Source organism: Homo sapiens, chromosome 10 (genome assembly GCF_000001405.40).
Source record: "Homo sapiens chromosome 10, GRCh38.p14 Primary Assembly".
Taxonomy (NCBI): Eukaryota; Metazoa; Chordata; class Mammalia; order Primates; family Hominidae; genus Homo; species Homo sapiens.
The window spans coordinates 4,384,214-4,410,988 of NC_000010.11; the positions used below are offsets into that span (position 1 = coordinate 4,384,214).

The window sequence follows — 26,775 nt, forward strand, 5'->3', positions numbered from 1 at the left end:
ACTAGGAAAGCGCAAAACAGACTCAAAGCCTTAATGTTTTTGCTCATTAATTCAGCATGTAACTCACATTCCAATGGAAGCAGAAGAGGTTGAGCCCACAATCAAACTGTCACTGAATTCTAAACCAAAACTGAAGTATGGACTTCTTCTCATTAGGGTCACGTTGCCAGGACTATACAATGAAATGCCTGGCCGTGAGAGTCCAGCAATTTTCTTTGCTCTCAGAGTTCCTGTTTGGAAAAGAAATCTGAGAACTTCATGGTGGTAAGTGTTATTACTTCAAGAATTCACCCCGTGGAATTCATAAATCATTGTATTTCTACTGCTGCTCTATTGAAGGACTAAGGGAAAATATGAGGAAACGTGAGTGAAAGGAGGTGTTAAGGAGGGTTTCCTTCTTTTCTTCTTTCCCTCTTTTTTGCTGCTGTTAATTTACATAGGATCATATGCTAGAACTGTTTCCCATTTGGGTTTTATTTCGCAGAGCCTACTGAGGAAAACATTAAAACATGCTTTAAACAGGTATTTGTCAACAGGAAAGACCAACAAGATAGGAAACGAATGATGTCCACTTAGCACCTATTTGTCACTGTGTCAGGGTAGGAATTGTCTTGGTCTTGTCCCTGGACATCTGTGGGTTGGTCGTTTTATTCAAATCTTTTTCCTACTGATTTCACACTGTTTTTTGGGTGTCATCACATTTTTAATATCAACAGGGTCCATGGCTTGGGATGCTTGACCACCATCAAAAGATCAATATATATGCATGAAGCCAGTCTTGTTAGACTATAGCCTGCCAGGCTATGAGACTCATGATTTCCCATCTCCCAGAGGTTAGAAGCTTTGGTGATCTTAGCATGGGCATAAACCCAGCCACTTACAATCTGTCCCCTGTTCATTTTTTAGGACTTTTATTTATTCTATGATAATATGTTCTGTTAGGCCAATATGCTTTATTATATCTCTTTGATGTCAACACAGCCTATAATCATATAGAGGCAAGGAAACGCCGCTAGATGATGTTCTATTCAGATGTAATGTGGATCAGATGGTGACATTTTATTCTTACTGCATTTGCTACCAACATGACACATGGTAGAAGTACATCCCCCATCTTCCTTGGATCTTATCGCAGGCCTTCCTACCTGACTGTGACTCTCACCTTCCTCACCTGCCTTCCTCTAGAGATGAGTGAGATGGCCAAATGGCCAGCAGCCCTGTTCCCATGGCAACACCTTTCCCAGTGCAAAAGAAGTTTGTGATTTGTGGTTCTCCCTGCTGTTGATGAGGCCTGAAACTGAATGAGATTTCATTTCTTAGACTTGAATAAATTGTATTTGAGGCGTCTTTTCTATCACAGTCAATCTACCTGTTATATTGGTCTCAGTGTCCTCGACTCTGTAAATACCCAGGGTATAGCCCTGGCAGGCGTGATGTGGAAACTCTTGACTGATATTCTTCATTCTTGCTGAAACATGCAAAGGCATGAGCTACAGGCTCAGACGGGAGGTTTACTGCCATGTCCTTTTACAAAGCTCCTTTTCCTCCTCTGTATAAGGGGAGTTGATGTGTGTGTCCTCTCATTTAAGCAGCCGTGCACTGAGCACATGCATCACGCTGCACACTGCTCCAGCTTACAGAGGAAAAAAAGAGAACAAAGCTGCTGTTTATGAAACATACATTCTGGTTGGGGAAGCAATAAACACACAGACAACTATTTGGGGGGATAACAGGAAACACGATCAAGTAAAGTAAAGTGTTAGAGCATGGGGGGTGCACAGCTTTCAACAGAGAAGGTGAAGACAAGAACACCTGCCGCCCACACTGTCAACTAACATGAGAAGTCCCTGCAGAGGTGAAGGGCTGGGAAAAAGGTAACTATTATCATGCTGTTGTGCCCGTTAATGTGGATTTGTGCTCAAAGTAAAAGCAAGCATCACCATCAGATATAGTAACAGAAGTGGTATGAAAACTAAATGATCACATCATGAGTAAAACCCATTCATTCTAATCACTTCTTTAATTTATTGGGCAGCTACCATGTACACCACACTGTAATAGATCATTCATATATAGTATTTTATTTTATGGTATCTACAGTCCTCTTTTACATATTCCCTCCACTTTATGGTTGAGTGGGCTAAGGTAAGAGAAATTAAATGACTTCCCTGGTGGACCGTGGTGTGTGCACTCTGAGATTGGGAATCCACCCAGGCCTCCAATCTCCTAGCTCTGTGCTCCTCCCTTCACATCTTATGACCTCCCTGGAGCTAGTTTCTCCAACTCTAAGAATTCTGCATCAGTGAGTAGGTTATGGATTGGCCATTTCACTTGGTGTTTGGAGAAAACCCTGCCTTGTTACTTATAATGCCCTCTCATATGGTGATGGGTTTGTGAGGTTATGTTGAGAGCTAGGTGTCCCATTGGGTGGGATGGAGTGGGCATCAGGATGAGTCTCTCCGGAGGGGATGGGAATCTCAAATGCCAGCCGCTGAATGATGAGTGGGTGCTCAAACCGGAATCTGGATTTGTGAAGGTGGATCGTAGGCTGGGAAAAAAGGTCATATTTTCTCACTCCAACTCTGATAAGCTGATAGGTTTAGCACAGGGTATGTTTTAACCCTATATTTGAGGTTACATATTTTTCCCCATATTAAGGCTGTGGTATATTTTATATTGTGTATTAGTCCATTTTCACACTGCTATAAAGAACTGCCCAAGACTGGGAAATTTATAAAGAAAAGTAGTTTAATGGACTCATAATTCCACATGGTTGGGGAGGCCTCGGGAAACTTACAATCATGGCAGAGGGTGAAGGAGATGCCAGTACCTTCCTTCACAAGGCCGCAGAAAAAGAGAGCAAACGGGAGATGCCAGACACTTATCAAACAACCAGATCTTGTGAGAGTGCCCTCACTATCATGAGAACAGCATGGGGGAAACCACCCCCACGATCCAATCACCTCTCACCAAGTTCCTCTGTCCACACATGCGGATTACAATTTGAGATGACATTTGGGTGGGGACACAGCCAAACCATATCATATTGAAAAACAAATTATCCAAATTCATAATAATGTATGTCTTCTTTCCATTAGTCTTTAGGAAAATCGTTCTTGACTTAGTTTACTTCTCTATGCTGCCGACAAGATTGATGTTGATGATAATGGTTAGTAAGAGATTATAGACAGCCCAAATTACATGGAAAATCTAATCCAAGCACTGGACCACCACCATGCTGATGAAATGTTTTCTTGGGGATATTCTTAGTGGTATTCCTCAAAATCAAAAGTTAGTTCTAATTGTTCTATTTTAGTAAAATTTACCCCCAAAACAGAGTTTGCTGTCCCCTTGGCTTTTAGAACAGAACGCTGTGATACTTTGGAATTAACTGATTTTTAAAAATGTTCTTTTTCTTACTAAAAAAAATACCCATTAGTATCTCTCCTAACTATTTTCATAGAGTTCAAGTACTGCAGTAAGAGCTCCATTAGGATTTTATTTTAAGCAAATTATTTTTATTCTTTTGACTTTTAAAAAATTTTTAACATTTATTTTAGGTTCGGGGGTACAAGTACAGGTTTCTTATGTAGGTAAATTTTGTGTCATGGGGGTTTGGTGTAAAGAATATTTCATCATTATTTTTTGTCTCAAAAAATATAAAAAAGTATGTATCTTCTTATTACAGAAATAACTTTTAAAAATCATCCTGAGTAGTAAATTATCAGCACTAAAGCATATAGAAATTGGCTTCATAAAATGAGAAAGTGTCTCTGCTACTTTCTGGAAGAGGTCAAAGGGAACTGGTATTTCTTCTTCATTAAATATTTCATGGAATTCACCAGTGAAACCTTTTGGGACTGATTTTTTTAATGTCATTAATTATTAATTCCACCTCTTTAACAGATATAGCACTACTCAAGTTATATAGGTTTCCTTTTATGGGTTTTGGTAGTTTGTGCCTTTTAAGGAATAGATCCATTTCATCTAAATTATCAAATGTATGACATAGAGTTGTACATAGTATTCCTTTAATATCATTTTAATCTCCATAGAATCAGTAGTAAATCTTACTTGATTTCTGGTATTTTTAAATTTTGCCTTCTCACTCTCTCTCTTTTTAAAAAAACTTTTTCTCATTTAACCTGGCTTGAGGTGTTGCAATTTTACTGATCTTTTCAGAGAACCAGGCAGCTTTTTGTGTTGCCGATTTTTTTCCATCGTTTCCTTGTTTTCAGCTTCATTGACTTGTGCTCTAGTGTGTGTTATGTCTTTTCTATGGCTGGCTATAGGCTTACATTGTTCTTTCTTCATTTCTTAGGTGGAAGCTTATGTTATTGATTGTAGATTTTTTTCTAAGTATGCATCCAATCCTATAAAATCCCTTTAAGAACCACTTCTACCACACTCGGCCCATTATATAAGATGCATTTTCCTTTAGTTAAAAATAGTTTTTAACTTTTCTTGAGACTTCTTCTTCGACTTGTAAATTATTTAAAAATATATTGTTTAATTGTCATATATTTGGAGGGTTTTCCAGCTATATTTTGGCTATTGATTTCTAGTTTAATTCCACTGTGTTGTAAACACATACTTTGTTTGATGTCTATTGTTTTAAATTTGTTAAGGAGTGCGTTTTAGACCACAAGATGGTCTATATTGGTGAATATTTCCTGTGAACTTGAAAAGAATGTGTATTCCACTGTTACTAATGTATTCTATATATGTCAATTTGTATGTGTTGATTGATAGTGCTCTTCAGTTCAACCATATCTTTACTGATTTTCTGTCTGCTTAATCTATCAGTTAAAAAAGGTGGGGTGTTGAAGTCTCCAACTGTAGCAGTAGATTTGTGTATTTCTTTCTTCAGTTCCATCAGGTTTTGTCACATGTATTTTTACCCTCAATGGACGCACCTTGAGGATTGTTATGCCACGTGGAAAATTCAACTCTTCATCTCTCAGATAGAGCCTGTGCCTTGCAGTGCATCTGTCTGTAATTCACTGTTATTATATTACGGGCGTGGTGGGGAGGTGGGGAGGAGGGGAGTGTATACCATCTTCCCTTTACATATCAATGTTTCAGGAGACAGTGTCTTGGAGATGTAGCTTTCACAAGTGTCTCTCCAGTGGTATAGCTTTTTTCTCTCCACTATCCTTTCTTCCTTCTATGGCCTTGATATTCTCCATCTATTTCCTTGAAGTCCTGACTGTTATTGCTTGTGGGTTTTGGAGGAATACCCTTCCCCCACGGGGATATGGCTTTGACAGCATCTTTTTCCCTAGTGTGTAGGTCTTTTTTATGGAAAAAGTTATGTGTTTTACAACGATTACTTTTATCTCCCCCCTGAAATGACCAAGAGGCGATGTTTCTCTGATTTTCACTGTAAGAAGTGTGGGTTCCTGGAGGTAAAGTCCAGGAAAGTGCGAGCTCCCCTAAGACTGCAGCGCCACGCTGGACACTAAGCCTCCCGCAGGTCCTCCAGTGACCATGCCAGTGTTCCTAGCCCTCAGGGATCCAGCAGCTTCTGTTCCAGGTGAACACCTCTGGGCTGTGTCTCTCCAGATGAACCTGTCTCTCCAGATGTTGGTGCTGTAGTTTGCTTTGCAACCTCAGTTCTCTGATGGCTCTTATAAAGTTGTTTTCAGTTTTTCCAGATTTTTTCTATTGTAAGGACAGAGTGACAGCTCCAAGTTCTTTCATGTTAAAACTGAAAACCTAAGCCCATACATATTGTATTTTAACAACTGTAGACATATGATTAAACTTGGACATTTTTAGATTAAATATCTTCCCTTAACTAGAGAGCTTACTTGCCAAGATGATGCAGTTATTAAGTGGTATAGAAAATACCTTTAAAATTACACCCAAGCTCATACCTGTAGCTGATAGTGAGTCAAAACTCCACAGATTTTCCAAGTCAAGTCAGTAGGCTTGCTAGAGGCTGGGAAGACAAGAACACAACATCTAATCTTGTCATCAAATTAAAAAGAACATGACGTAAGTATTGAAGAGCCGGGGCAGGCATCTGAAGAATATTAAAATACCCTTGTGTTAATATGAGTAGGATATAGTGAAAAAGTTAAATAGACAGAAGATGAGTCCAGGAAATCACAAGATACCAGGGATCCTGTCTTCATCCAGAGTTTATGAGTTCCTCCTTTTATGACATGCAGGACAAGTGAGCCTGTGGGGGCAGAGCTGATGCACATGTTCAGTAGGGGAAGAACTCACCTCATTTAAGGACACAGCTCTCAACTAATGATGCCATCAGTATGTTGAGTAATGCATCAAACATTATTAACTATTCCAATTAGATAAATTTTAGCCAAGAGGATTTAAACACATGTGGAAATGCTTGCGTAGACAAGCATTCTCATAGATAAAAATTCTACAATTTACTAAAAAGGGGAACTTTTTGAAGCCAACTTTTAGGCACGCAATGGTGAAAACAAACCAAGAAATTAAAAACTCAGAATGGTTTACTCGTGTAGTGGGGGAAGTTGTATTTCTAATCAAACTCACTTGGATTCAAATCCACTTTTGATTTTTACTCATCATACTCCTTAATTTGCTTAATCAATCTGCTTTCTACCTTCAGCTATGAAATACGCCTCCTGTGTATACAGCATAAGAGTGCTATGAATTATCCTACATCCGTTGAAAATTATTAAAAAGTTACTGTGATTCCCCCCATGATCTGTAGTATATTTGATGTCTGGAGTCATACTTTAACCACCTCTGCATCGCCAATGCACAGCCTAGTCTATGGCCCTGGACAGCGTCCAGTGAAAATTTGATGAACTAAATGTCCTCCCTCCTCTGACCATTTTAAACATTGCAAATTAATGTTCTTAAACTCATTCTTCTTTATTCACTATAAAATAACATGTTCACTACTCTGTACTCTACAAGGCATCATAGCAGTCACCAACAATAAATAAATAAATAAAAAGGTAGAAGGTAGTATCATCCTCTCAAGGAACTTACACTCTATCTGCAGAGATAAAAACACCTACACAGGTGTTTATTAACAACCCTGGGTGAGAGCTAATAAAGTACCCAATGAGTAGAGCAGATGTTGTACTGGTATCTATGTCTTACTGCATATGTGACCCAGAAACAAAAACAGGACTCAACCTGCATTCAGTAAAAAGGAGATTGATTGACTCACAAAACTAAAAGGTTAAAAGAAAACCTGGCACCAGACAAAGATGCTGCAGGGCCTGTCTTTGTCTGGGGCTCCATATCACCTGACTGGCTCCATACCCTGCTCTATATGGTGGAGTCTGGCGTCTTTAGTCTCACGTCACAATGGCATCCAGTCTAGAGTAACAGGGAAACTCTCTCCTCCAAAAACACACACAAGAAGTCATGCCCCTCAAGTTTCACTCACCTTATTGCCTTGCTTTGCATTATGTTATTATCAGGCACCAGTTCCTGTGGCTAGAGGGATTGATTATTGCTGATCAAATTCCCCCAGATCAATGCTCATTTCTGCATCTTGCAGATGGACTTGTCCCTGGAAGAATGTTATGAAGACTGTGGTAGGACAGTGCATTTGCTTCTCCTGAGGATCTTGTTAAATGAGATTCAGATTCAGCAGCTCCAAGGTAGAGCCTGAAGTTCTGCCTTTCTAACACCTCCGGGGGGCACTGCCGCTGCTGGGCTGATGCCACACTTCATTTTAGTTAGCAAGGGATTAGAGGAAGTGTTCCCCAGGGACTGCTGGAAAGTTCTTGCTGCAAGAATGAAGGTGGACAATGAGTGGTAGAAATAACAAATGCATATTCAAAGTGAGGGTTGAGAAGGGTAGCCCAGAGTGAGCTGAGGGCTGGTCACGAGTGGTCTTATTAGGATCCTGTGTGAGAGGGTGGCTTGGGAGCCAGGCTTCCCAGCACGGGACTCACATCTTCCACCAGCTACTCTGTGCCTGTTTCCTCCACTGTAAGATTGAAATGATAGAGCTATTATGTCATAGGGCTGTTAGAGGATTAAATTAGTTACTATTTCTAAAATACTTAGAATAATACTGTACATATACAATGTACTCTAAGTTTGCTCAGATGAAAATAACTAAAATCAGCTACATATAAAATAAGTATTTATTGGGGGTAGTGTTTATTTTTTAATTTCTTTTTTGTGAGATGGTCTTGCTCTGTTGCCCAGGCTGTAATGCAATGGCTCAAACACTGTTCATTGCAGGCCCGACCTCCCAGGCTCAAGCAATCCTCCTACCTCAGTCTCCTGAGGAGCTGGTACCCACCCACCATGCCTGGCTATTTCTCTGTTTTTTTTGTATTTTGTTAGTAGAAACAGGGTTTCACCCATTGCCCAGGTTGATCTCAAACTCCTGGGCTCAAGTGATTCGCCCACCCTGGCTCCCAAAGTGCTGGGATTACAGGCATAAGCCACCGCACCTGGCTGGGGATAGTGTTTAAAAAGGCAATATCAATAGGCTAGAGTTAGTGGTTCTCACACTTTAGCATGTATCAAAATTACCTGGAAGGCTTGTTAAAAGAAAGACTGTTGGGCCTCATTCCCGGTGTTTCTGATTCCACAGTTCTCAGGAAGTACCTTAAGCATGTCACTTCTAACAAGTTTTGCATTGATGTTGATGCGGCCGGCGTGGGGACCTAAGTTTGTGAGCCATCAGGCTGGACTGCGTGTCTCAAACAGGAGGGCACATTGAATGGGGACGAGGAACCCAATCCGACACAGAGTGAAAAGGATCTTAAACGCTGCATGTTGAGATAAAGTCTGCAGCTGAGAAAATGATGCTACATGATCATTTATATTCTCCTAACAATTTTTATTCCTACGGCTTGCCGCTGCATAGCAGTGACATAGGGAAATGCAACGAACCAGCAGAAGTGCCTCATTGGTGTTCTCCATGCTTGAATTACCTTCTCAGATTATAAGTTCAAGACATAGAATTCTCCCCTGTTTCCTTGAAGACCTGGTGATTTAATATCCATTCAATCTTCCAGTCTTTGTAATCTAACTTCCATCATGCATCTCCAGGTCAATTAAACACAGTAAAGAAGTGGGAATTAGGAGTCCTCTCTTCTAGCTAAAGCGAAGCCTCCAGCAAAGTCTTGGGCACAGCCCTCAACTCTCCACAGACTCAGGATCCTTGTCAGGTGAAGACGAAAATAAACCACCTCTACGTTCTCTTTCTCCACGCAAAGCTCCAGATTCAGCACTGTGGGATTTGAGTAGCCCATTCTGTTCTCCTGCCTACCTGCCTGCCTGCCTGCCTGGTTATAAAACAAGAAAGACGTTTCTAGTTATAGAACCTTTATTCCAATGTGAGCCATTCATGTTCCATCGAGAAATGTGGAATTTGACATTGAAAATTAACAAGTATAGGTTCCTTTGGCAGCAGAACCTGGTCAATGGTGACGCTCTGAAGTGTGGATTTATGAGGTGGTCCAGCGCCCCTATGTCTTAGGGACTGGCCTTTTAAATTTCACAAATCCTATCAGAAACACTTCCCACACTCTTCATATTTTTTGGTTTATGTTAATTGTGTTTAGGGTCTATTAAATGCAATGACAAAAGCAGCAAATTGTATTTCTACAACTTCATTTTTCCCTGATATATTTTTGTATCCTTAAATACAAATGATTCGCTGAACCTGACATCTGTAAATACACTGAATAAAGGGAGATATAAGTATACAGGACAAGTACCATAGCCTTCACTACAGCAATCTCATTAGACTCCACCCCAATTTTCCAGAGAATTCTTGTAAATGTGGGAGAGTGTTTTATTTTCCACTAAATGTGGGATTAAGATTTAAGCAATTTTATAAAAACCTTCAAGGACAGACTGTCTTGTCATATAAAGGATTTGAGGGCGATCTAGTGAAGGGATATCTTGATAACGTAATAAACTAGACAATCTCCTGAATACACCTGAATTTTAAAAATACGCTCCCTTGAGTGATAGTGCTTCTAACCCCAGTAACTTGTGGTAATCATTTTCTTCCACTCCTCATGACTTTGGCTATATTTTTTTTCCTAGGAGAGATCGGCCTAGTCATCCTTGTTGCCTTTGTTTATTTTTAAGTATAAATGTCCCTCTAGAAATGAAAATACATCCTTCAGATATATTGTTTAAAAAGGACTGTTCAGGGACAGGTGTGGTGTCTCATGCCTGTAATCCTAGCACTTTGGGAGGCCGAGGCGGGCGGATCACTTGAGGCCAGGAGTTCTAGGCCAGCCTGGCCAACATGGTGAAACCCTGTCTCTACTAAAAATACAAAAATTAGTCAAGCATGGTGGTGCATGCCTGTGATCCCAGCTACTTGGGAGGCTGAGGCAAGAGAATCGCTTGAACCTGGGAAGTGAAGGTTACTGTGAGCCAAGATCAAGCCACTGCACTACAGCCTGGGCGACAGAGCAAGACTCCGTCTCAGTAAATAAATAAATAAATAAATAAATAAATAAATAAGATGGACTGTTCAGGAAAATATCTGGTATTATTGGTATGTTGGTTTAATTTTAAATAGTCAGCAAGAGAACATATGTTTATCTAAAAACCTAGATAAACATCATCTGATGTGTTAGAAACTTCTTTAGAAAATTTAAAATTCTAATCTCCATACAATGGAGGGAAGCCCAGGAAAAACACAGAACACATAAACAATGATAGCTGAATCCAAACTAAGATTATCCTTAATCCAAAATGACTAGTGCAATGGAATATATGCTATTACCCCTTTGGGTCCTATGGAGAATGTACATCCCTTTCCAAATCTAAATGTAGCTCTTTCATGTGAGAAAAAGTTAGTTTGAAACAGTTTCATCAAACAATGGTTGAATATGAGAAGTAAGCACTTACTACATATGAAACACATGACTAGTCCTTACAGATAATTTAAAAAAGACTGAACATGACAGTTTTTTTGCTCCTAGGGTACACAAGCCATTGGTAAATAGTATGGGAGGCATGAGAGGAACTCGGTGATCCCACAAAGGTAATTTGGGAATTCAAGAGAAATTGTAGCATTTTAAGTCTGGTATTTTAAAGACGAAAAGGGAATTTAAAATGTAAAATTAACATGAAGATAAAGTTATTCCAAGTGAAGATAAAGTTATTCCAAGTGAATGGGATAAGCATCATGGAATGTATAAAGACAGTTTCAGGGTGTAATAGACTCCGGAGCAGGGTGATTTGTGTGTACTTTAGAATATGTTCATGTGTGGCAGAAGCATACCTCAGGAGATAGTTTGGGAAGGAATCATTGAGGGCCTTGCAGGTCAGACTAAGGAAGCTGCCTTTTATTTTGTATATATAGCGATACTTTGAAACACATTTTCTTGTGTGGGACATTCAGGGGCCCTTGAGCAATTCAGACTTACTATGCTAAAGTATCTCCAATGATTAAGGAACAGAAATAAACTCACGATGATATGCTATGAATATTGCAAAACATTTCTATATACTTTATAGATCAGTAGTGAAGTTTATTCCAAACAGATCCTCCTCGTCATTCTCTTACTTTAGAGTAAGTGCTTTTGGGAAACATTCCCAGGCAACAAACAAAGAAAATGTCATTATTTTAAATATTTTGAATCTAATTCAGTGACTAAGGCCATTAATAATTTTTTTTTTATCTTGGGGAAAATTTTTTCTAAAACAGGAATTTTGTCCACAAACCCAGAAGAATCGCTGAGTGAGAGTCTTTGCCTAAGGGCACAACAGTGGAAATCCTTTGAGTAGTAAATGTGACTGTGTTTTCGATGGACTGCGTTACACTGGCAAATGGCTTCGCACTTCTCTCTCTAGCCACTTAATCACCAGAATAGTGCTGATAAAAGTCATCGCCCATCTTCCCTCCAGGATATTGTGGAGATAAACTCATATCCATAAGAAGTATGCAGCTAATAGAATTCGCCTATGCTAATAACCATAACAGCAGCAAGACAGCATTCTCTTGCTGTGGATTAACATCCGCATATATTGGCATGGATTAACATCCAGATATATTGGCATGGAACTCAACTTGAGGCCCGAGATTGCAGAAATCTATGAGGAGGTGAAGCCCTCGGTAGAACACTCTTGGAGAGGTCCCTTTCTTTAGCTTTGCCATTGAGATGAGAAACATATGTCTATATTGGGAATGGTGAAGAGAGAGTTTATTTTCTCTTTACAGCTTTAAATTTAATAATACATGATGGTGACATTCTACTTTCATCCACATAGAACGGTTTTAAGAATCTAATACACTTGTCACTTTCTCTGTTTTTCTAATTATTTCTTTTTACCTGTTGACAGAAAATTGAACGGAGCGCAAATAGGACTTACCCCTCCAGTACGTAAATAGGCAACTACCCACATAACATGGTTTGCAGAGGGCTCAGAATTTCCCTCATGCTGTTCCTCTGGGTAGGAAATATTTAGGATTCAGCCCTTAGAGATGGAGGCATTGGTATCTGTGAGAGGCTAAGACACTGGTAGGACATATTTTATCTGATTAAACTTTACGGTCAAGTAGGACAAATACGGCTGGAGGAGGTTGAGGTGTGCCACACTGCTCTGTGTACTGCCATGTACCATGTAACAACGTCCTGTTCAATGACTGAATGTATATATAATGGTGGTCCTATAAGATTGGAATACCATATTTTCACCATACCCTTTTCTGTGTTTAGACACAAATGTGTACTGTTATGTTATAATTGCCTATGGTATTTGGTCACATGCTGTACAAAATGCCACCTAGGTGTGTAGTAGGCTGTACTGTCTACGTTTGTGTAAGTTCACTCTCTGATGTTTGCACAAGAGGGAAATTGCCTAATGACACATTTCTCAGAATGTTTTCCCATCATTAAGTGATGCCTGACTGTCCTTGTGTTTGTATTAGCCGGGAACATCTACCTACTATGGCAAATGACCCCCAAAGCACAGAAGCTTCACCCAATAGAAGCTCACATCCTGCTCACATAGCACTTCAAGCACCTGCTCCCAGAAAGCCTTCTGCATAATGTTTCAGGGACCCAGGACCCTTCTACTATGTAGCTTTATTTTCCTTTTTGACCTCTTCTGTGGGCTCTGAGGTCATCCTTCAGCTTCCCAATAGGGAAAGAGAGATAACGTGGTGAAAAGGCTTTAGTGGCCAGACCATGAAGGGATGGCATATTCCACTGGCAAGAGCTTGCCTACATGAGCACCTCTAACTGTAAGGGAGACTGGAAAATGTATCTTGCTGTGTGTCCAAAAAAAAAAAAAAGGAGATCACATCAGTATCTGCCACAGGGCCCTGAGTATGCAGCGAGTGTTTTCAAGGCATAGGTTTTAGCATCAAACGAGCCACATATTTATTCTGGCAACGCTCCTAGCCATGTGACCCTAGGTGAGTTGTTTAATTAGTTAAATGTGCACTTGCAGGCTCTTGAGCAAGTTTTCCTCTCTTCTCCTCTCCTCTTCTTTGTCCCATCTCTCTTTCTCTCCCCAGTCCCACTGTCCCATTTGTTTCCTACTTTCATTAAAATAAATATGTCTAAGCCTTTTTTTCTTCTTGGGACTTACCTTGCACAGTAGCAGTGAGAAAATTAACATGTAAAGCACAAAAAGTTACCTCTGTACCTGGGACCAAGTGTGAGCTCAAAGATTTATTAGTTTCCATCATTTTAATATACCCTGAAAAGAGTTAGGGCAGTGGTGCCTGAAGTGGATTTCAGACACGTGAGTTTCCTTCTTCGTCATTTGGCCAGCATGAATTAAAACATTATTCAGTCTTTGAACCATTAAATAACAAGGGTATTTCCTATCTCCCCTGACCCTATACTTAACGTTCCTGGAGACAAAATATGAAGAAAATTTGGGGCTATGAAATTCAACTGTAGTTACAGCATACCTCAGAGATGTAGTTTCCTTCCCATATGATTTGAAGAAAATGTATCAGTACAAAGAAACAAGATATTTTTTAAAAATAATACATTGCATAAGATCTTAGTGTCTTTGGGAGTTGAGCCCTTGGTACTCTTCAGCCTGCCTATCCTGACTAAGTGAGTCTGCTTAATTGAGCTACAAATCTATGAGGATGAGTTCTTAAGGGGTTTTGCAAGCCTCCTGCTTATAGATCAATCAAAATGATTACAAAATAGTTCCTCTCGGTGTGCTTGGCTTCAGATTTCTATGCAATGAGAAATAAAAGGAGGGAAAATGTGCGCTTTCTAAAATACGAAGAAGAGTTCGTTGAGCCTCAGTATTAGTTCAGCCAGGTGTTGCTGTTGGCTCCTGTTTAAAGAAAGTGTTCTCACTTCAAATCTGAACGATGAACATCCCCTGGAAATGGGCCTTCGATTGAGATATTTTTCTGCAAATTGCGCTACTTGCTCTACTGCTATAATGTTCAAAGTGATATGGACAAACAGTAATTAATGAAGCAGTTCTTTCTGAAAAGCAGGTAAATCGTAGGACCCTGAAGTTAATGTAATTTTTCAGAACACTTGTATCAGTATTCTGGGATCTACCCCAGTTAAAATTCATGGAACGAAGCTTTATGCAATTCAAAATGCTTAATAAAAAAAAGAAAGAGAAAAAGAGAGAAAGAAAAAAAGAAAGGAAGAAAAAGAAAGAAAAAGAAAGAAAGAAAGAAAGAAAAAAGAAAGAAAGAAAGAAAGAAAAGAGAGAGAAAGAAAAGAGAGAGAAAGAAGGAAAATGATGTGGTTAAAAAACAGGTATTTGAAGCCAGCTGAGACTGAAGCTTAGCTGTTGTTTGGCATTTTAAACAATAAGAATAATGCAAATTCTGCTTTCTGGAAATACTTCACGGAAAAGAATTGGTGGTTTAATAAAATATTTTCCAGCTGCAACCTTTTTCACTTCTGGCCATTATTTACAGATACCAGAAATGGAAGTCATGTATTTAAAATGATAATTTGTGAAGCTAAAACATAAAATGAATACAATTGATCACATGGTTAGGTTAATTTATACACCTAAACAAATGACTTTTTAAAATTCTCTCCAGCTTTAATATTCTGAGTTTTAGACTTTCTTATATTTTACCTTGCAACATAAAGGTAAAAGAGATTGGATGCGTTTTGTAAAATATCACCGTTGGTATATTTGAATATTTTATTTCTCAGTGTTAGAATATTTGATTTGAGAATTAAACTTCAGTATCAAAATAGGCAACATTAAGTAATGGGGCTATGAAAATGGGATCTGCTCTCTTCCCAAACACGTGTTACCAATGAGAAAATCAAAAGATTTTTTAAAGCAGCTTACCAGATAATGATTGTTTTGCAGCTTATTTTTTAAATTGTATTTTAAGCCAGGTTTGGAAACCGATGCCTAGCTCAAAGGTAATACCCATGAGACCTAATATGCTCCATTGAAAAAAAAGCTTATGGCATGATCAAATTGAATTTCATGAAGTTCATCTACTAGCTTGTTGGCCTTTACTTCCAAATCTGTTTTATCATATGCACTATAAATTGAAAAGCAACAGGAAAAGTTATGCTGAACAGCTGTCCTGCTATTACAAAAAAATTCTGGGAATGAAGTTAACTATGCCGTGTGATTCCATTTCTGTGCTGCTGAGAAAGGAGCTACATGACAAGGCAATTTCCTTTTACAGTATTTATGAGGACAGATACACTTATGGTGTGAATCACGTCCTCTACACGTGTGTGCAGACAGTAGGGCAATAGAGTCTAAACACCAACTTAGAGGGGTTACCAAAAGACCAGTGCTCTAAAAAACAAACATTTAAAAAAACCTCTTTTTTCACCAATATACATAATTCCTTCCAGCGCCCCTATCATTTATGCTTTTGGCTTGCATCATTTTAGGCCCTAAAAGATCTTCAGTTGGAAAAACATAATAGCTTGTCTTTGTGGGGTAAATTGCATATGGAGGAGCTGTTTCACACATATTATCTCACATGATCCCCACACTGTGGTTTTATAAAAGAAAAAAAGTGAATTTCTTGGAGATGACAAGACTGTCAAAAGCACAGGACTCATGAATTGAATCATGGGGCCAAAGTTTTCCCGTGCTGTTCTCCTGATAGTGAATAAGTCTCACGAGATTTGATGGTTTTATAAAGGGCAGTTCCCCTGTACACACTCTCTTGCCTGCAACCATGTAAGACATGCGTTTGTTCCTTCTTCCCCTTCCACCATGATTGTGAGGCCTCCCCAGCCATTTGGAACTGGAGTCCATTAAACCTTTTTCTTTATAAATTACCCAGTCTTGTGTATGTCTTTATCAGCAGTGTGAGAACAGACTAGTACACTTATTTATGTATTTTATTCGTTTTGGAATTAGAGTAAGGAAAATTGTCGTATAATTTAGTTCTCCTTTTCACCCAGGTGTTAAAAATAGCACCAAATAAACATTGACTTCTTTGTTTTGCCAGATATATAAGAAATTTCCCCTTCCATCTCATGCCCCTCTGTACCTCATGAGTTCCTATCTGTGCTAAATTAATCAGTGTTCTCTAGAAGCAGGTCCAGGAATTGACTCACATTATTTTGGAGGCTGGGGAGTCCCAAGAGCTGCAGTCAGTAAGTTGGAGGCCTAGGGGAGCTGATGGTGTCAGCTCCAGTCCAAGTCCAAAGGCCTGAGAACATGGAAAACTGATGATGGAGTTCCCCACCCAAAGCCCAACAAGCTCAAGACCCAGGAAGAGCCAGTGTTTCCATTTGAGCTTGAAGGAAGGAAAAATACCAATGTCCCAGCTCAAAGACAGACAGAAGTAATTCTCCTTACTCACAAGAGAGCCAGCCATTTTGTTCTATTCAGGCCTTCAATGAATAGGATGAGGCCCACTCATTTTAGGGAGAACAATCCACTATACTGAAAGTTCACTAATTTAAATGTTAATCTTATCCCAAAACACACTCACAGAAATACTGTTTGAACAAGTATCTGGACACCTCATGGTCCAGTCAAATTGACATACAAAATTAAACATAATGGCATACTTTTTCTTAACTAAATTGGGAAGAAAAGTACAAATACAAGGGAAAAAAGGAAAATGTATATGAGGTTCAATGCAAAATAGGTTTTCAGCAAATGACAACTTATTTATTTATTTATTTATTTATTTATTTATTTATTTATTTATTTATTTGAGATGGAGTCTCGCTCTGTGGCCCAGGGTAGAGTGCAGTGACACGATGTTGGCTCACTGCAACCTCTGCCTCCCAGGTTCAAGCGATTCTCCTGCTTCAGCCTCCTGAGTAGCTGGGATTACAGGCATGCACAACCACGCCCAGCTAATTTTTGTAGTTTTAGCAGAGACTGGGTGTCGTCATATTGGTCAGGCTGGTCTCAAACTCCTGACCTCATGATCTGCCCACCTCAGCCTACCAAAGTGCTGGGATTACAGGAGTGAGCCACCACGCCTGGCCACATTATTTAACCATAATTGATTGGTTTTACTTTTCCATCCCACTTGCAATGCTGTTCTGTCATCAGTGACAATGTGCATGTATCAACAAATTTTAAATATGAAAATTGGTGAAATATTGCTTTGAATTGAATTTTTTAAATATAAGATTATTAATGTAATATTCAGTAGATAGAATGGACACAAATAAACTATCCATTTAATGCTATCAAAATACCATCTGTGTTTGGGGGCCAGGCTATATCACCTTTGTTATACTGTCAATCTATGAGACTCTTTCTTCTAACAGGGCAATTAACATCATTAATCACATTTGGAAAAGCACTGCAGTTAGGGGATAGAGGGATGAGTAACACAGGAAGTGTAAAATTAAACACAGGTGATTTAAGAGTCTGCCTTGCAGGTACATAGTGAATATTATAAAAAATTACTTTACAAGGCTAAGCTTTTTCTCGAAATATAATACATACTTAGTTTACATTTTACTTGAGAAATCAAGTGTTTTTTGTTTACTCTTTGTATCACATCTACCATTATTTTATTTTTTAATTTTTTATAATTAATTCTTTTTCTCAATTGTTAATTTTTACCCTTTTCTTTTTATCTCTTGTTTTCTATACAGAAAATGCCTAAAATGGTAATGAAAGAGACGTGAAAGACTATAGATTATTTTTATGATTCTATATAATTTTATTTCTTTCATGAAACAGAGAAAGAACATGTATAGATTGCTTGCTAAATTTGTAAATGGTCAGAACTTCATTCATAAAGGGAGAAAAGTAAAGATCATTCTATTTTAATTCATAAAACAGAAACTACTTCAAGCATACTTAACGTGTAAAGTCTAAATGGCAAAGAGGAGAGGATTCTAATTACATGCTTGCCTTCAGACACTTAATTGAGTTGCCTGAGATTAGTTAATTTGCTCAAAACATTTTTGTTGATGTCATTTTAACTGTCCAACATAGTTCAGAACTTTAAAGATTGATTAATTGGTAACAACTTATTTTTTGGGTCTTGTATCTACTGTGAAGACATCTAAATTAATTCTAAGCATAAATAAAATTTAGAAATTGATTTTGTATCTGGCATTATTTAAGATTTTGTTCTATGTTGTTAACTATGCTGAGCTATAATTACATAACCATATTGAAATTCAAAAGTCAAAATGGATCTCATAGTGTTTTCACTGGCAAGAAGTTCTGATCAATAACTCATACCACATGCAAAAATCAATTCTGTTTAATTGTGTTTCTAAATGAGAAAGTTAAAACATTGACACTTCTAGAAGAAAATGCAGAAGGAAATCTTGATAATATACATTAGGTAAATACAGCATAATAAGTACTAATCAGAAAGTAAGAAATTGGTACCTTATATTCAAACTAATAAATTCCGTTCCTCAAATGATGCCCTACGAGTGAAAACATGAGCTACCACATGGATAAATGTTTGCTTCTATGTATGACAAATTAAGTCCCTACCGGACCTTCCTGCAGAAAGGAATGGCAAACCTTGGACACAGCACAAAAAGCGAGTGCCTGCAGGCACCAGAGTAGGCTGGCCAAGAGCAGACAGACTGGATGGAGGGTGTGCACATTTTCCAAGACCATTGAAGACCAGGAGGTATAAAAATTTGTTGCTTGTGGCCCGGGGCGAAGTAGTCCGTGTAGCATGACCAGTGCCGGGGGGACAGAGATGGAAGATCCCTCCAGTATTCTGACCAGGGGCACAGGAAAGCGAGGTTGGGAGAACGATGACAAGGAGATTACGATATCCCATAAAAAAAGGAGCAGAAAGAGGGATCACCTAAATCTCTCTACCCACATCTCCTGCTGATTCCTAAATCATGGACGTGTAGGATAGTTCAAAAATATCTCAGCTTAAATGAAGTGATCTGGACGAAGACCAGAGCTGCCTCCCAAGGAGTAGAGTTTGCAGATCAAACTAGCCAAGAAAAAGGCCTGCTGAGACATAGGAAACATGCCCATCGGAGAAACCTAAGGAAGCCTGAATCTCCTCACATTCATATTTACAACACCGCAGATATAACCCGAGATTACTCGGAAATGATCTGCTGAGACATAGGAAACCATGCCCATCAGAGAAACCTGAGGAGGCCAGAGTCTCCTCACATTCATATTCACAACACTGCGGATATAATCCGAGATTACCCGGAAATGATCTGCTGAGACAAAAGAAACCATGCCCATCGGAGAAACCTAAGGAGGCCAGAGTATCCTCACATTCTTATTCACGACACCAGAGACATAATCTGAGATTACCCGGAAATGATCTGCTGAGACATAGGAAGCTATGCCCATCAGAGAAAACTAACAGAAGCCGGAATCTCCTCACATTCACGTTCACGACATCGCAGATATAGTCCGAGGTTACCCGGAAATGATCTGCTGAGACATAGGAAGCTATGCCCATCAGAGAAAACTAACAGAAGCCGGAATCTCCTCACATTCATGTTCACGACATCGCAGATATAGTCCGAGGTTACCCGGAAATGATCTGCGGAGACACAAGAAACCATGCCCATCAGAGAAACCTAACGAGGCCAGAATCTCCTCATTCATATTCACGACACGACAGATATAATCCGAAGTTACCAGGCATACACAGAATCAGGAAAATGGAACACATTCTCAGGAGAAAAGAAAAACAATTGATTCTGAGCCTGAGATGAACCAGACATTTCAATTAATGGTAACAATTTTGAAGCAGCCATTATATTTATTTTTAATAACTAAATCAAAACATTGTTCCCAATGAATGAGAAACAAGAAGTATAAAGAGTAGAAACAGAAAAGTAGGATCACATGGAAATTCTACAACTAAAAAATAGAATTTCTGAAATAAAATGTTCAAAGAGCATAGAATTACTAAAAACGTCGATGAAGATGTGGAGCTGAAAGTCTCACACATTGCTTGTGGGAATGAAAGATGATCTTGAAGTTTCTCACGCAGATAAACATATAGTTAGTACATTACTCAACAATTCTACCTCTTGGCATTTACTAAAAAAAAAAGAAAAGAAAATTCAGTCAATAAAGGCTTGTACATAAAAGCTTTGGATGTAATAGTTTAATTCTTACTAGAAGATTAAGATTAATACTTAATAGATAACGGTGGAAACTGAAATCTACCTACATGCCCGGTTACTATTATAGAAGAATAGATAAACCAATCGTGGTCTCTTCACATAATAGAATAGTATTCAGTAATAAAAGCTAATGTCTTATTTTTATCAATGACAAGTATATCAAAAATATTTTCCTCAGTGAAGGAAGATAGGCACAAAAGAGGATGCCCTGTAATTCCATTAGTATTACATTCTAAAAACGGCAATAGTATTCTATATGCACAGAGGACAGAGCAAGGAAGGACTCTGTAAGCTTGCGAAAGGAGAAGAGCATGATTACAGAGAGCACAGAGTAGTCTTTGTGGGATGAAGGAAATAGTCTCTATCTTTACTGTGGCAATGGTAAAACAGTAACAGATAATCAGGTAAGTTTAGGGTTTACTTCAGAATTTATCCAACTTTTGAAGTGTCAGAGGACACCAATTTTAAAAAAAACTATTTAAATTTTTGTTAGCTCAGTTTTCCTGTGCTTACATGAACTGCAGCTCTTTATTCCTCTTAACTTGTTAACATCAAGGAACATACTGTTTGAAAAGCTGCTTCAAAAGGGATAGAAAGAAAATGAATCAAAAACACTAACAGTAAGCCCCTATACCCTTGTAGAGGAAATGATAGGGACGTAAACATATTTATTACTGGCATGTAGTGCTAAGTGCTATAAAAAGATCCAAAAAATGTGCTAGAAATTTTTACAATGTATTTTATATATTGCTTCCTAAATGCAGTATAAAGCCATGAGATAGAGACCTTTTGAGCTCAAAATTTCCCCCTGGAGTCCCTATTTTTAATGTAACCCACAGTTGCTGGAAATACTAACTTTTTCTTAATACATTTAGATTTAGAGAGAATTCCCTTAAGAAACAAGAATTGTTTTGACGTGTATAATTGTAGGAATTTGAGAGGAACATGAAAATGTTGCTAAGTAAAAATTTCTATGGGTATTTAGAGGTACTGACACATGTACCCAATATATATAGTTCTGTATAATGTCTGGGGAACTCTTAAGTTCTACTTCACTAATAAAACACATGCTAAAAAGGGGAAAAGGGGAAACATTTTCACATAGTTTTATGTCAGCAATCTAAAATACAACCTAAAGGAAAGTTTGATCTGGGCTTTATGTTTTTCCCAGCCTTTGTGAAGGTTTCTAACAGAATTGATTTATTTGAGCATCTAGTTTTAAAGTGAACAGTTCCTAGCAATGTGAATGCCTATAGTGACCTTCACAGCTTGTCTTTTAAGAGGCATGGTGACGCTTGCCAGTAGCTTTTGTAACTGTGGATTATTCTCTAAGCTTTACACACACTGAGCCCAATTTGCTGAGTAGGTGTGTTTTTCCCTGCCCAAAATTTTAAGAGATTTGAAAGGTGCTTTAATTCTTACCATGCAGTAAACGCTACACTGGTGATGTTGACATACTAGATTCCCCACACAACTATATTCCTTTCAGCACGTAGTTTCTGCAGCCTTATTTCATGTCCTGGTTTCCACCCTGGTTCACCATTCCATCAGGAGTCAGGGCTCCTGAATCTAGCTGGTGGCTGAACCAGCCTTGAACAGGATATCTCTCTTCCACTCCCCAGTGGAAGAGCAGACCCTGGGAACTCCCTGGTTCATTCCACATCTTGACAGAGACTAAAGTAAAGAGTGCTTTCATCACATTGTGATGTCAAAGAACTTTCACACACCCCTAAAATTCTGAACTCTTTGAAAAAACCCAATGAGGATTGAAAAATTGACACACCTGAAAGCTAGTGTTTGGGAAGACAACAACCCAGGGCTGTTCTGTTTCTGACTCAAGATATTGGAGCAAGCTATGCCTCTCCATGGAGGTAATCCCTCCTCAACTCCTAGTGTTGAGTCCAGGAGTCAGAGGGCCTGTATTATTGTAGACACACACGGGCATTTAAGCAAGACTTACCACACTAGGGTCTTCCATCCATTCTACCACTTACTGTCATCTTCTATAACATACACAGAAGAAAGCAGGAGGAGTGTATCTGTGTCCACATTTTCTGCCTGGCACAAAAAATGATGAATCCACAAAGTGCAGTTTCACCTAGCATTTATCAGCCATCAAAGCTGTACAGTAATGTGACTTTCTATTTAATTCCTCACCATACCATATTGTTTAAAAAAGATTCCATCAGGCCTGGGTACAGTGGCTCACACCTGCAATCCTAGCACTTTGGGAGGCCAGGTGGATGGACCACTTGAGCCCAGGAGATCGAGACTAGCCAGGGCAACATGGAAAAATCCCTTTTCTACAAAAAGTACAAAAAGAAAATTAGCTGGGTGTGATGGTGCGTGCCTATAGTCCCAGGTACTCAGGAGGTTGAGGTGGGAGGATCAGCTGATCCTGGGAGGTCGAGGCTGCAGTGAGCCCTGATTGCACTACTGCATTCCAGCCTGGGTGACAGAGTGAGACCCTTCCCCCTCACCCCCATAAAAAGGATTCTGTCATCTGATTTATAGAGGACCTTTTAAATCACTAAACTCAGAACAAATTAAAATATCCAAAACATATATTTATAATTGTACATACAAGATTCAGCTGGCTACCAGAATTTTAAATAGGTAAATGGGTATTTTAGCCCTCTATGAATATCAATTAGGTGCAAATATAGCCTTTGCCATCGGAGTGAAATATCATATAATGACTAGGTCTCTGAACAAATTTGTTGAATTTATTTTATTTTGTATTTTGAAGTTGCTTTTAATATGAGTGTTGGAATACAAGGGTCTTAGTAATTGGATTACCAGAGTATCTGAGTACCAAAAAAGATATGAGAAAATTACTTCCATTAGGTTCCAAAGGATTTATTGAGATCCTAAAATATCATATTTGCCATAGGGGAGAATTGTCTTCCAAAATCATTTTTCTTTTTTAAATTCGGGTGTCCAAAGCCACTGCACTTACTGCAATTAATAAAATTCTCTGGCAAGGCATAAGAGTGTTCTTGCTTCAAGCTGCAAACACTTTCCCCTGAAGACTTGGAATGACACGAAATTAATATGAAGGAGGAAAGAAAGAATTAATTAGTATTTGATAGTGGAGCATTAAACGTTGATTTATTAGTCACAACCAACATTAGGTAAGCTTACTTTATAAACCTCAAACCATATCCTTCCCAGGTTTGTTCTCATCACCACCATAAATTGCCCATATACTAACTGATGGTAATTTGTCACAAACAAACATAAGGGGCTCTTAGTCAAATGGTGACATATATGTGAGTGTATAAACTTCCTCTTATTAACATGACTCAAGGAATATACCAACTATGGGGAAGATTGCATCAGCAAAGAAAAAGGAAGAAGGATGTACCTACAAGCAAATGCAAATGGAAACAAAAGCAGGGATCATAATCTCTGCAGAGAAAAAGTGTTCAAGCCAACACATTATATAAACAATGAGGACTATGTTTTTTGACAAATGTTAAAATTTGCACGATCTTGCATTTTATTTATGTTGCTGATTTTATAATTCTGATTAAAGCTGACCTGAATGTATTCAGTTTATGTGTAATACCCTAGTACTTTAATGCATTTTTTGGAGGAATGAGTAATATTATTTTTCATAGATGAAGAAGGAACTGGTAGTGAGTCAAGACATACTGAAGCAAAATAATAATAAAAGTTATTATTACCAAAAAAAGTAAAATAAAACTTCTAGTCATTAAATATTGTCTCCATCTCCTTCTTCTCCATAGATGAGGAAGCCTGCAGCCCCCGAAGGTCACGGATGCTGTTGGAGCCACGAGGAAGAGCCATCAGCCCAGGGAGACCCTGAGGGTCAGGGCATCTCCATGGATGAACTCCGTGTACTGCTGGACTCATCCAACCCTTCGTGGACATCACTTTGTAGTGAAAATCCCTTTTGTTGTTGAAGAAAGCCTGAGTTGGGTGATTTATTACTCATAAAGTATGTTAATACCTTGATGCTAATATTCTCATGAGAGAATTATACTCTAGTCTTATGATAGCACTAAAAGTAACTTAAAGGCCCCACGCTTCTCCAGATAAAACCAACACTTGTGAAACCCTTGCTTTGCCGTTTACTATCTATGTTCCTGGACAAACTATTAAATGTGCCGAGTCTACACCTCCACCTCAGTTTAGGATCAATAATCTATATCTTTTCTTTTTCAGTTTCAATACATAAAAATAAGTGCCATGAGTAGTTCTTGTAACTGAATAGGCACTTAAAAGTGAAATTAGGCTCTTCATTTCTCCTGCTTTCTTATCGTACATCTTTATGATACTTTAATTTGAGCTACAACCCCTGAGATCTTCTTGAGAGTTAATCACTGCTGAGAGACAATACAGAGACAGGACAATAGACAGATCGCATGTGACGACAGAGCTCTGACCCACAACCTCTGCAGCAATTGCTCCCCAACAATGGGGACTTAGTGAATAACTGCTACCTGCCCTATTTATGCCCCCAACTCAGGAACAGCAGGTCAATCCAATATGCTTCTCTAATACCCACATAGTTCTCATTCTTTTATTTTTAATGTTTATTTTGATCTACAATTAAAATAACAGCTAACAATCATAGGTATGCATCCTTCAATGCTTCCAACTTATAATCATTCTTGTATTAAGAATTTTACTCTTTCATTTTCCTGTGGTTGTTTTTTTCCCCTCAGGTTCTGCAAACACATTTGTTGCCTAAAATTGCACCTCTGAGAAATTCCAGCACACTGGCATAGTGTTCTGGACTCTCGCTGTGGTATTACTGCCAGCACTATGCTTCCTTATTAAAAAATGTAGAGGCTCACTTGCAGCAAGCTTGATAGCAGGATGATAAAATGGCAGGGTATTTTTAAACACAGATTTTATGAGATGTATTACATGGAATTAAATTTAGACCATATATCAAGGAAATCACCATAGAGCTTTGAGCGTGATTCAGATCATCCTGGCATTAGTTGGACCACTCTGTTGGCTCAACAATGTCATTGCCTGAGTGGGAAATAAATGGCCAAGTCTATGGGGGCACTATCGGGTTGGCTTGCTGGTCACAGCATCCTCCCCCCACAAGATGTCTCATCTGGAAGGGTATGTAGGGCAGCAATTGGTGGAAATACACAGCAGAAGAAGATTGTGACTCTTTCTCCAACACACCCCCTCCTCCTCAGTACACAACCTCTGCTCCCAATGATGGTACAAACATCAGGGATTTGACAGTACACACTCAAGAAACTGTTTTTTGGTGGTGTGTTTGTTTTTCTTTTTTCTTTTTTAGTTTGTTTTTGGTAGGATCTATCTAAATGTAAGGTTATTTTGATGGTTAATATTGAATGTCAACTTGATTGAAGGATGCAAAGTATTGTTCCTGGATGTGTCTGTGAGGGTGTTACTGAAGGAGATTAACATTTGAGTCGGTGAACTGGGAGAGGCAGACCCACCCTCAGTCTGGGTGGGCACCATCTAATCAGCTGCTAGGGCTGCTACAATAAAAGCAGGCAGAAGAACATGAAGGACTAGACCAGTTGATTCTTCTGGCCTCCATCTTTCTCCCATGCTGGTTGCTTCCTGCCCTTGAGTATTAAACTCCAAGTTCTTCACCTTTGGGACTCTTGGACATTTGACCACACACTGAAGGCTGCACCGTCGGCTTCCCAACTTTTGAGGTTTTGGGACTTGGACCGGCTTTCTTGCTTCTTTGCTTGCAGACAGCCTATTGTAAGACTTCACCTTGTGATCGTGTGAGTCAGAACTCCTTAATGAACTCTTCCTCATGTATACAGCTATCCTATTAGTTCTGTGCCTCCAGAGAACCCTGACTAATACAGTTACACTCCCGGTCCGCATTTGGGATTCTGTATGTAAACCTCAGAATAAATTCAACAAAATTTGTCGAATTTTCCCTTTGGTGACTTCACATCTTTGCAAAGAGGGGGTTTTGGTGGTTGCTGTGATAAAACTATGTATAACAAAATCAATGTGCATCAAGAAATAAGGATCAAGAAGTCATGCAATGCCCACAGGTGAACATCTCCCATTATTGAATAATTACAACTACTTAACAATAAAACTGAATATTAGTTTTCTTTCAACCTATGTTATGTGTATGATTTTTTCAAGGATGCCCTAAGTGGTTAGGATAGAAATACTTAAATTTTTTTTGGACTTAGCGACTTAATAAATGTAAGCAGTCATATAGTTATTTTGGAGCACTGTGGAAATATTGCTGCAATAGTAAAGCCACTGCGGGAACTAAAAAAGCTTGTGAATC

At 38.7% G+C, this 26,775-nt stretch overlaps 2 long non-coding RNA genes across 5 annotated transcripts, besides 2 other annotated features; one reads left to right on the forward strand and one right to left on the reverse strand.

Moving 5' to 3' along the window:
* Nucleotides 1–22,137, reverse strand: LOC105376372 (uncharacterized). Of its 2 annotated transcripts, XR_001747337.1 has the most exons (6): nt 21,912–22,137; nt 7,397–7,742; nt 5,880–5,944; nt 1,370–1,633; nt 1,163–1,297; nt 1–230 (listed from the first exon to the last, which is right to left on the reverse strand). It is a non-coding gene; the product is annotated as an uncharacterized LOC105376372 (long non-coding RNA). The 2 variants fall into 2 exon arrangements; XR_930592.3 differs by lacking the exon at nt 1–230 and having other exon boundaries at nt 927–1,297.
* On the forward strand, nt 33–26,399 carry LINC00703 (long intergenic non-protein coding RNA 703). Of its 3 annotated transcripts, NR_108054.1 has the most exons (3): nt 33–264; nt 7,511–7,613; nt 24,242–26,399. It is a non-coding gene; the product is annotated as a long intergenic non-protein coding RNA 703 (long non-coding RNA). The 3 variants fall into 3 exon arrangements; NR_108055.1 differs by lacking the exon at nt 7,511–7,613; NR_108056.1 differs by lacking the exons at nt 33–264; nt 7,511–7,613 and adding an exon at nt 22,256–22,360.
* Nucleotides 104–398: a silencer, noted in NCBI's record as "tiled region #7156; HepG2 Repressive non-DNase unmatched - State 24:Quies". NCBI's record gives its function as "represses a minimal TATA promoter and a strong SV40 promoter by Sharpr-MPRA in HepG2 cells {active_cell/tissue: HepG2}" and the evidence as "EXISTENCE:reporter gene assay evidence [ECO:0000049][PMID:27701403]".
* Nucleotides 23,247–24,446: an enhancer, noted in NCBI's record as "P300/CBP strongly-dependent group 1 enhancer chr10:4449652-4450851 (GRCh37/hg19 assembly coordinates)". NCBI's record gives its function as "activates an origin of replication core promoter dependent on BRD2, BRD4, P300/CBP, MED14 and CDK7 cofactors, with strong dependence on P300/CBP, by STARR-seq in HCT116 cells {active_cell/tissue: HCT116}" and the evidence as "EXISTENCE:reporter gene assay evidence [ECO:0000049][PMID:35650434]".
* Nucleotides 26,400–26,775: the final 376 nt, after the last annotated feature.